General features: G+C 37.2%; 1 protein-coding gene and 1 long non-coding RNA gene across 10 annotated transcripts in view; both read left to right on the forward strand.

Moving 5' to 3' along the window:
• Nucleotides 1-12,098, forward strand: part of ARHGEF38 (Rho guanine nucleotide exchange factor 38) — a 129,947-nt gene that overhangs the window by 7,207 nt on the left and 110,642 nt on the right. The gene's annotated exons all lie outside the window — the stretch shown is intronic.
• On the forward strand, nt 1,765-10,412 carry ARHGEF38-IT1 (ARHGEF38 intronic transcript 1). The gene is made up of 3 exons (NR_046840.1): nt 1,765-1,821; nt 3,476-3,539; nt 10,078-10,412. It is a non-coding gene; the product is annotated as an ARHGEF38 intronic transcript 1 (long non-coding RNA).

Below are 12,098 nucleotides of genomic sequence, written 5' to 3' on the forward strand. Positions count from 1 at the left end.
GAGGGAAGGAAGAGATTGAGTATTAGTGTTATGTTATCTGCTAGGAGCTATGCTAGCCAGATGCTGTCACACACACTGTTACTGAATCCCAACTTCTCTTCTGTTCAGTTCTGATTTTATCATTGAGAAAAATAGGTGGTAGGCCTTGGGTTTGAGATGTCACATGCTTGAAATATTTGCAAAATGGAATGAATTTAACTAGTTGACTCAGTAGGTATTTTATACATATGATTTACTAAGAAGTCAAAGCCATTTGATGGTTGCAGCACATGTTTTGTAATGTGATGACATTTCTCTGCTACCATAATAAAGCTTAACTTGCTGTTTTTCACTTTGGAATATATTTTCTTTCTTTTGACTTATAGTGGCATGTCCCTGCCAGACTGTCACTGTTTAATAAATACTTTTTTTGTTTAGTTGTCGGGGAACAAAATTACAAAGGTAGGTTAAGCAAAACTGTCTTATAGTAATAGCTTAATGATCTCCATTTCCTGCTTCATTGCGTATCTTGACACTGAAACTCATCTTTCTTTAATTTTATGCCTGTTGTCATTTATTTGCATCTCAATAAAACTTAATATATATCAGAATAACTGAGAGTCCTATTCTACAGCAATGAGAGGAGGGAATACATTTGCAAATGAAAAGAATGGAATTATGTGTGGGAAACAAGCAACTTTTTATCTGGATAGGTGATATTTCAGTAGAATTGTATGAAGTCAGCTTAAATTGTGAGTCATAACTTAAATGCAGCAGGAACACAGAGTGCTATGATTTAAGACTTTGTCCAAGGTTTTCTGAACAATGTTTTTCTTGATTAATGAATCAGAGAATAAATGAATAGTCTAAGATACCTGCACTGAAGCCCTCGATAGAGGATGCAATCTTAGACTGACATACAATTCTTACTTAAAGAAGAAAACTTAAAGGTCATGTCATCTAGCTACTACTCTAAGTATTGTGAGTCATTATAGCACTTCACAGAAACTGTTTTTCCTGAATGCTTCTTAATGTTAGGTCTCCAGTGTCACTACAAAAAGCCATCACAGATTTCTCCTTCTGTGTTTGTTGTGAAATGGTTGATGAAGACATTGTTTACCTCTCTCAGATTTTATTCAATGGAAAGCTGACTCTCCTTAAGAATAAAAACACATCCCCTCCCAGATAAAAACAAGCAATTTACTATATTTAGCTGCTAGGAGCTTAGGGTCAAATTTGTTTTTGTTCCCTGGCCTTTATATTAACTATTTTGTCTGTCTAAAAGTTTCTTTCCCATAGAGGCAGGGTGTGGTGGCTCATGCCTGTAATCCCAGCACTTTGGGTGGCCAAGGTGGGTCTATCGCTTGAGCCCAGGAGTTTGAGACCAGTCTGTGCAACATGGTGAGACCCTGTCTCTACTAAGAAAACAAAACAAAACAAAACAAAAAATTAGCTGGTTGGTGGTGCATGCCTGTAATCCCAGCTACTTGGGAGGCTGAGGCACAAGAATCACTCAAACCTGGGAGGCAGAAGTTACAGTAAGCTGAGATCATGCCACTGCACTCCAGCCTGGAGTCTCAAAAATAGAGTAGAATAATAGAATAGAATAGAATAGAATGGAATAGAATAGAATAGAATAGAATGGAATAGAATAGAATAGAATAGAATAGAATAGAATAGAATAGAATAGAATAGAATAGAATAGAATAGAATAGAATAGAATAGAATAGAATAGAAAAGTTTCTTTCCCCAGATCTCTGCAAGAGCAGATTTTTATCACTGAAGTCTCTGTTCGTCTTTTTTGGGAGTCCCTCCCTGACCATCCGACCTAAAGTGATGTAGGTAAGGGAATACCTTTCCTCTACCCTCTTAAATTCTGTGACTAGGACCTGTGAATTGTATAGACAAAAGACATACTAACAAAAGAAAAAGCATACACATTTTACTTGAGGTTAACATTTTTATGTGTCGTAGGAGGCTTTGTAGGAAGAAAGAAGTAAAAACCTCAAAGAAGCAGTTAGACCTAGGGGTTTACATAACATTTTAACAAAGGTCATAAATTGTGGAGATATGACAAAGCCAAAGTAAAAGAGTTTAGGGTTGGGGAAAGAAATTGTGGAAAAGTGACTAGGAAATACATGGGAGAAGCTAATGGAAGATAAGGGTTATTTTTGTAAGATTTGTTTGTGTAGATTCATCTCTGTGTCAACTCCCTGTCTCTGATGATGAGAATATTCCCTTCTTGGTGATACAGGGAGGGCACTTTTCTCATGGTAAATTTACACTCTGCTTTTAAGTAAAAAAGGAAAAGGCAGAGAGCCCTTCCTGCATCTGCTATTGAGCATCTCCAGCTCAAAATAATCAGTATCCCAAAGTGGCATATTTAGGGATGGTGTGTTCTGATCCCCCTCAGTGGCTTTCATACCATCTATTACTCTATGAAATTATACTACTTCATTCTATTTTTGGCTTTTGCTGTCATTTGAATATAATTCTCCTTGGGGAAAAAGACTTAGCATTTAAGCAATGCCTGGTATACAGTTATTCTGCTCAATGACTATTTATTGAATGACTTTAAAATATCCAGTGAATAATTACAACTATATTGATCCTTATGACATACTTGCTTTTACAATTCTGTCATTTTCACTTACCCACTATGTAATGGTAGTTAACTTTCAGTTAATTTCTTTACATTCTTTTTCTGTAAAGAAAGATTATAAATAAATAAATTTAATTAAAGAAGAGACTAGAAAGAGTTTCCTGGCCAAGAAAAATAGGATCTCTTTTTAAATGAATTTATTCAACAAATATTTGCTAGGTATTCGTATGTGCCAGGTATGACTAGGTCCTAAGAATGTTTTTTAAAATATCAGAAGCACACCCAGCCCACTGAGTGAGACAGGTTGTGAACAAATTATTGCAGTAATGTAACAAGGGCCTGAAGTATACTGCAAATTGGGTTTCCGACTTGCAAATTCTGAAATAGAGATTCGGGTGGAGGGGAATTATTAGGCAACATTCTGTGACCACCACCTGGGGAAGAAAAGGGAAGGACATAAGCCTGGGCACAGGGAGAGGCCGAGCTGTGATGTGGTCTCATTGGAAGCTTTAGCCAACTCTGAGGGAAGTTCTGAAGACAGATGATTTTTTGGAGTTGTCTCCAGTGTTGTGAAGGACCTGGGCCCTTGTATCACACTTTACGTTTGGGGATGTGGCTATCTTGGGAAAAGGCATGGCCTGAGAGGTGCTTTCATCTGAGATAATTCCTAAAGAGGGCATATCTGCTGGTTGCACTCCCGGCAGCTGAAATAATAATTTATCCCTTCCTTTAAGGGGAACGGGTGCTAACATGGCATCCACCACATATTAAGTGGTTATTATTATTAGAGACACAAATAAAGCAATATAGGAGCTATGATAAGAAAGAGCTTAATTGCACCTCTGAAATGCCAAAAGAAAATACACTGAAATCTGAATCTTGAAATCCAATTAGGACTTTTAGGGGCAGAAGCCATTCCAGGCAGAGGGATTATGCTGGTCCTCATACATGGAACAAGGTAATAATACTAATTTTTGTATTTGGGGATTTCTAAATGGAAGAGCAGGTACAAACACCAACTGAACATCTGTAGTAGGCACTTAGGTGCAGTACGTCATTTCATGCTCTTAGCAACTTTGCAAATAAGTTATTGCCATATATTTATAGATGATAAAACAGAGGTTAAGAGAGGTATAAGCATTCTCCCAGTGGTCACATAGCTATTAATAGCAACTGGTGAAGTCAGAGTTTTCCTGAGGTTTGCTTGGCTCCAAAGTCAGGGCTTTTTCAACCATCATGCAGTTTTCCTGTTCTAACCTTAGTTTTTAGTAGTAGTACCTGTTTTATGGTTTGCTCTTAAGAAATCAACTGATTTTAATAAACTTTTGAACAATACTCACAAGCATCAAGAGAACTGTAAGTTCTGCCAATACATTCATCGGCAATCTTGAAGTGAACAGTGACCAACAAGTATTTTTCAGTAGCTGTGTTATTTTATGCCTCTCAACAAAATGTTCTATGTGCTTGGAAATTAGAAAGATATGTACTTGCATTGAATAAGGTCCATACTTCACAGAAACACTAGAATATTCTGCTCTAAAAATACAAAACTGATTATCTGAATTATCTAGTCTTTGAAAACTCCTTGTCATCACTAACTACAGAGTACTTACCTGGATTAGGGTACTCAGTGAAAAACTGGGTCAGAATGTCAAACTACATGGCTCCTTTGCTTAACACTCCTCATTGCTTTTCATTTTTCTATAGCTAGCAGCAGTACCCAAAGAGGGGAATATATAAACCCCAGGAGATTTTACAGACAATCTATTGTGCAAAGAAAAAAATAGGTTTGTTTTTCAGTATTGCTCTTTGAAAATATTTATTGTTGTGCATGCTTCATAATATGTATGATACATTAATATGATACGTATATTAGAGGTGTATACACAGAACAGTTTAACTGACACAATAAAAACATTTGCAGTAAAATTCTGACACGCTACTACATGGATGATCATCAAAGATATTGTGCTAACTAAAATAAGCTAGTCACAAAAGGACAAACGCTATATGATTCTACTTATATGAGAGTAGTCAAATTCATAGGGACAAAAAGTAGAATGGTGGTTTCCAGGGGCTGGGGGAAGGAGGAAATGGGGAATTATTGTTTAATGGGTAGAGTTTCAATTTGGGAAGATGAAAAAGTTGTAATGATTGCATAATAATGTGAATGTATTTAATGATACTGAACTGTTTACTTAAAAATAGTTAACATTGTAAATTTTATGTCCTGAATATTTTACCACAATAAAAAATGATAAAAAAGTTTGGCGGCCCTTGGTTTACAATATTAAAATGGAATGTAAGGCTTTTCCCAATTTGACTCTATCTCATCTCTGGCCTGGAGGACAGTGTTACTTTTGTCAATGAAAAGAGTCAAACTCTGTGAAATATTTGAAGATATTTATTCTGAGCCAAATATGAGTGGCCAATGGCCTGTGACACAGCCCTCTGGAGATCCCGAGAACATCTGCCCAAGGTGGTCAGCCAGCAACTTGGTTTTATACATTTTAAGCTTGGGTCAGGAAAGGTGGGACACTCATCTTCTGCTAAAGACTTTAAATAAAAACATTTTCTGAAGTACCCATTTATTTAACTCCTCATTGCTCTGTCTGTGCTATGCTGATCACTGTCGGAGCCTGTAAATTCAAACCAATACCACTTCAGTATTTTTCAAGACAGGTAAGCTTTGTTTAATTCCTTTTTGAAATCCACTAATCTACTTTCTATGCCAATTAGCAGTCAGAGGAAATAAATCACATGCCCTTCCAATGAAGATAAAATATTCCCAGCCCCAGTATTTGAGCTTTCAAATTCAGAGTCTCAGAGGGTCTGTTCCTCCACATTTTCACTTAATACCTCACTGGCTCCCCTCCAAACCCTGTCTGACATGCAATTATTTTCAACCTATTTCACAGAAGTCTGCTCCATTCATCTTTCTGTGGGTCAGATTTCCATTGAAACTGATTTTAAACGATAAAAGATTTTACTGTGTGAAACGTATGTTGGTAGGGCTCGACGCAATGCTAAGCCAAGATTTTTTTGGGTTTATTGGGGCAGATATGAAATTGGCAGCATGGAGAGGGATGAAAGAACATTTATAATCATATCTGGGGGTTTCGTAATGATCTGTCTGGAATAAAACTGTATATTGAATTATGGGTGGGTGTTTGCACTATACGGGTAGAAAGGGAATCGGACTGATAGAGGCAGGGAGGGAGTGTTGGTCAGAAGTTCTGAACTCAATTTCTGGCTTTGTTACTTAAGGTAGAAGACTTACTCTCTCTAGAAATTAGCTTCCTTTTTTTATATAATGAGATAGAGCTGAGCAGAACTTATCACCTTATCTCCTCTACCTGCTCTTTTCCTGTTGTTCCCTATTTCTTTAAATGGCACCATGACCCAGTTAACAAGTCAGAAATCTGAGAGTCAGCTTTGACTTCTCCTTTACCCTCTGCATTGATTACTCACCAGTTCATGCTAATTTCACCTCTTGAATTTCCCTTGATCTGCTCTGTTCTTTCTATCTTCTTGGCAATTAGACTAAGCTTAACTCCCTCCTTCTTTCCCCTAGTGACTGGACTGTCCATGCGAAGAGCCACTTCACTACCCACAGGCTTCCTCCTCACCCTCCCCTCTCAAATCTAGTTCAGTGGAGGCCAAAGTGATCTTGCTAAGAGAATCTAATCATGTCCCTCATTTATTAAAAAATTCCTCATTGTCGAGATCTGTCTCCTGAGAATTTCTCTAGACTTGTCCCCTTTTCACAACCTCTATCACTTGTACTTCAGCTGCACTAAGTTGTTTTCGCATCTTTTTTTGCCACCAAGCCTTTAAATATACTATTTCTTTTGCTCATGACACTTTTGCATTTCTCTTCACCTTGTGCTACCTGTTTCAGATTTCAACTGTGTCACTTCTCCATAGGACTGATGTCCAGGCTGTGCTATGCTTGCATGGGTCACAGGTTATCATAATTCTATTTATACTAACTACAGTTTTAATTTTTTTATTTTTAATTTTTGTGGGTACATAATAGGTGCATATATTTATGGGTTACATGAGATATTCTGATACAGGCATGCAATGCATAGTAATTCCATCAGGAAAAATAGAGTATCAATCACCTCAAGCATTTATCCTTTGTGTTACAAATAACCCAGTTATACTCTCTTAGATATTTTGAAATGTACAATTAAATTATTTTTTTATTATAGTCACCCTATTGTGTTAGCAAATACTGGGACTTACTTATTATTTCTAACTATGTTTTTGTACCCGTTAATCATCCCCCTTTCCTCCACTACATCCTCCAGACTACCCTTCCCAGCCTCTGGCAGCCATCTTTTTTTTTTTTTTTTAAGAGACGGAGTTTTGCTCTTGTTGCCCAGGCTGGAGTGCAATGGCACGATCTTGGCTCACCGCAACCTCCACCTCCCAGGTTCAAGCGATTCTCCTGCCTCAGCCTCCCGAGTAGCTGGGATTACAGGCATGCACCACCACGCCCAGCTAATTTTGTATTTTTAGTAGAGACAAGATTTCTCCATGTTGGTCAGGCTGGTCTTGAACTCCTGATCTTAGGTGATCCTCCTGCCTTGGCCTCTGAAAGTGCTGAGATTACACACCTCGCCTGCCATCCTTTTACTATCTATCTTCATGAGTTCAGTTGTTTTAATTTTTAGCACCCACAGATAAGTGAGAACATGCAAAGTTTGTCTTTCTGTGCCTGACTTTTTTCACTTAACATAATGGCCTCCAGTTCCATCCATGTTGTTGCAAATGATGGGATATTATTCTTTTTATGGCTGAATAGTAAGTACTCCATTTACACCAGTTTTTAAATACTGACCAATATTTTAAAATGCAAAGTGATTTGTTTGCAGAATCTTTCTGGAATAATTCTTAATCTTTTAAATTTGTCTCATTCAACTCCTAATATAACAGCAGTGCTTTGGCAACTTGACTTTATAAAATTATGTCAAAACATTAAAGCAGTTTTCACAGAAACATACACATGGTATTTTACCCTCATATTTCATTAATTATGTAAGTTTCGTTAAAGTAATATAATTACAAAGAAGTACAACTGACATAATGAAGTCAGCTGTTGAACACAATTAAGTCTTGAAAAATATGCCCCTTGATTGTTAAGTGGAGAAGTACATAGACATCAGTTTGTGTATTTAAGGGAGATAATGGAAAATGTTGATTTATCTCATGACTTCAATACCCTGTCTTTACTTCTAGATTATACATATCTTGATGGTAAGAGCTGTTGTTTATTCATTTAATATACACAACACAAAGCACAATATCAACTCAATATCCAATATGTAATTTAAAAAATTAATATTAAATTAGATATAAGGTTTTTTTTTCTTTTATTATTATACTTTAAGTTTTAGGGTACATGTGCACATTGTGCAAGTTAGTTACATACGTATACATGTGCCACGCTGGTGCGCTGCACCCACTAACTCGTCATCTAGCATTAGGTATATTTCCCAGTGCTATCCCTCCCCCCCTCCCCCCACCCCACAACAGTCCCCAGAGTGTGATGTTCCCCTTCCTGTGTCCATGTGATCTCATTGTTCAATTCTCACCTATGAGTGAGAATATGCGGTGTTTGGTTTTTTGTTCTTGCGATAGTTTACTGAGAATGATGATTTCCAATTTCATCCATGTCCCTACAAAGGACACGAACTCATCATTTTTTATGGCTGCATAGTATTCCATGGTGTATATGTGCCACATTTTCTTAATCCAGTCCATCACATGAACAGACACTTCTCAAAAGAAGACATTTATGCAGCCAAAAAACATATGAAAAAATGCTCATCATCACTGGCCATCAGAGAAATGCAAATCAAAACCACAATGAGATACCATCTCACACCAGTTAGAATGGCAATCATTAAAAAGTCAGGAAACAACAGGTGCTGGAGAGGATGTGGAGAAATAGGAACACTTTTACACTGTTGGTGGGACTGTAAACTAGTTCAACCATTGTGGAAGTCAGTGTGGCGATTCCTCAGGGATCTAGAACTAGAAATACCATTTGACCCAGCCATCCCATTACTGGGTATATACCCAAAGGTCTATAAATCATGCTGCTATAAAGATATAAAGTTTTTTAACTCCAAAGACTATGGAATTTGTAAAATTGTTAACTTACCTTCAAATTCTAATATTCTTTGATTTGTATGTAATTATAAACATATTTGTGTTGTGATGAAATTATATATTAGTTAATGGCCAGATTCTTGTGTTGTATTATCTTTGTGTTCTCCACAGTCAAATGACTGTGAAAGTTGCTCAATAAGTAAGTATCAAATGGTGTATGTGTGCCTGCCTGGTTGGTTGTTGGGAGTATGAGAATGTTCCAACATTCTTGAAGTATGTCTTTGTTAGCAGCATGAGAACAAACGAATACATACTGCATTTTGTTTATAAAAGTGCATATTCCTGAAAATTATTTTTAGGGTGAGGGCAAGTGCTGTTAAGTAAGGCATTAAACAAAACCTTAAGCTTGGTATATGAAATTATTCACTACAACTATTCTTTACTAAGAGATCAGTAAGATTTCAATACAATTAAGAAAATCTAAATTCAGGATTATTTATTGGTAGCTATTGAAAAACAATATCAGAGGGGAACCTTAATCTAAATAAACAATGACTTAGAATTTTACAAGTAATAATAAGCTGTGTACTTTAGCAGGACACAGCTGTTTAATCATCTCCTTGCCCATTAAACTTGTTTGAGAAGCACATTCTCAGTGACTGCTCAGAAACTTATTTGCATTGGTGATTTAGCTTTGGGGTAAATGATTCAGATTTTTAAAATTCAGATGTTATTATATTATGCTAAACAACATGCCAGGGCTATATCCCTAGCTCATTTGAATTTAGCCTGAATAATAGCAGTGCACATTAGGCCTGGTGTTGAACCGACTTTGTAGCAGTCTTTGCTGTTTTTGCTTTTTCCAGCCAAGGAGGGCAATTTCCTGATAGATGGTCAATCTCCCCTCTTGCCCTTGGAACATTTCCAAGGAAAAGAAAAAGAGGGAAAGCAGGTGTAGCCATTCACAACCAGATACAGAATAATGGCAAGTAAATCATGGTCGTAAAAACAATGACTGACATTTTTTGAGAGGTTTCTGGTATGTCAGACATTGAATTAAGCAATTTTCATGCTTTATCTCAATTCTCACAACCTCCTAGCAGTGAGCAGTGGTTAACATGCAGGTTCAGGAGCCAGACTGGCTTAGGTTTGAATCCTGGCCCTCCACTTTCAGTGGTGTGACCTTGGGCAAACTGCTTAACCTCTGTGTGTGTCAGCTTCTGCATGCGTAAAAGGAAGGGAATATATATACATCTTATTGTGTTTTTGTGAAGATTGAAGAGAAAATGCAAAACAAACTCAGTATTTGCACTAAAAAATGTTAGCTTTTATTATCATTTAATATTACTATTATTCTTTTTCTCTTTCTACAGTGAATCAATTTAGTGAATCCAAATGACTTTGTCCAGGTCACAGAGGAAGTGGGTGTCATTGCCAGAACTGAACTCTATGCCTCCCTGTCCAGCAAAATTCCACTACATAGAACATGATGTACCATGATCACGACAGTTCCAGTCAGGGAGTGAAGGGAGAGAGCCCAGGCTTCGGAGCTAAGCACATAAAGTTTGAATCCAGCTCTTCTGCATATTCTATGAATCACTGAATATATTTACATACATTCACTGTATTCAGTTTCATCTCTAAAATTAGCATAATATCCCATTTTTAGAGTTGTGAGAAAGATAATAAATAATGCATATTTTAAAAACTGGTAAATAAAAAGTTCTTGAAAGTGGTTGCTCTTATTATAGGCTTATCACAATACATTATAATCAAATATAATTGCAGTAATAGTGTATAATGCTTTAATATCAAAAATAATTTGGGGGAACATACACGTTTATAAACAAAATGCAGTATGTATTAGTCTGTTCTCATGCTGCTGATAAAGACATACCTGAGACTGGGTAATTTATAAAGGAAAGAGATTTAATTGACTCAGAGTTCCACAGGGCTGGGGAGGCCTCAGGAAACTCACAATCATGGCAGAAGAGGAAGCAAACACATCCTTCTCATGGCAACATGAGAAGGGGAACTATGAGTGAAGAGTGGGGAAAAGGCCCTTGTAAAACTGTCAAATCTTGTGAGAATTCACTGTCCAAAAACAGCAGCCTAGGGGTAACCATCCTTGTAACCATCCTTATGATTCAATTACCTCCCACCAGGTCCCTCCCATGACACGTAGGGATTATGGGATCTACAATTCAAGATGAGATTTGGGTGGGGACACAGCCAATCCATATCATGGTATATATACACAATGGAGCATCATCAGCCTTAAAAGGAAAGGAAATTCTGATAACATGATATAACATCAATGAACCTTGAGGAAACATGATACAACACAGATGAACCTTGATTACATTCCGCTAACTGAAATAAGCCAGACACAAAAGGACAAATACTGTATGACGCTACTTATATGAAGTACATACTAGTCATATTCATAGAGACAAAAAGCAGAATGATGGTTGCCAGGGGCTGGAGGGAGGAAGAAATGCATAAGTATTGTTTAATAGGTATAAAATTTGCTTAGAAAGATGAAAACATTCTGGAGACGTTTGGTGGTAATGGTTGTCCAACAATGTGAATGCATTTAATGCCGCTGAACTGCACACTTAAAAATAGTTACCATTATACATTTTATGTCATGTATATTTTACTACAATGAAAAAGTTGGAGAAAAAAGAATATATCCATCTACGGGAGGAAAAATTTGTTATTAAAATTATTGAAATAAGAATTGCAGTCCTAAAATTAACTCATACCTCATCCTTTTTTTTTCTTTTTCTTTTTTTTTTTTTTTTTTTGAGACGGAGTCTCACTCTGTCACCCAGGCTGGAGTGCAATGGCGCAATCTTGGCTCACTGCAAGCTCCACCTCCCAGGTTCTCGCCATTCTCCTGCCTCAGCCTCCGGAGTAGCTGGGATTACAGGCGCCCACCACCATGCCCAGCTAATTTTTTGTATTTTTAGTAAAGACGGGTTTCACTGTGTTGGCCAGGCTGGTCTCAAACTCCTGACCTCAGGTGATCCGCCCGCCTCAGCCTCCTAAAGTGCTGGGATTACAGGCGTGAGCCACCGCGCCCTGCCTGCTCATGCCTCTTCAGGAAGATTTTTGATATTTTGCGTTGAATTCCTCTAAGAAGTCATTTCAGTCTTTATATTTCACAGTAGTGAGAAGGAGTGCATGACTGTTCTTACCCACACATATGTTCCTTTTCGAATTGGCAGATGAGTATTCATCAATGTAGATTCTAACAATACTGTCAGAGGAGAAATAATATTGTTGTGACACCAAGAGAACATTTTTATTGTACACATTACCTTGGAATAACATTTTTGCCAGGAAATTTGATGCAGCATACATATGGTGCCTGATAGAAAGAAGCCAG

The sequence above is a fragment of the Homo sapiens genome, chromosome 4, assembly GCF_000001405.40.
Source record: "Homo sapiens chromosome 4, GRCh38.p14 Primary Assembly".
In the NCBI taxonomy this organism is placed as follows: Eukaryota; Metazoa; Chordata; class Mammalia; order Primates; family Hominidae; genus Homo; species Homo sapiens.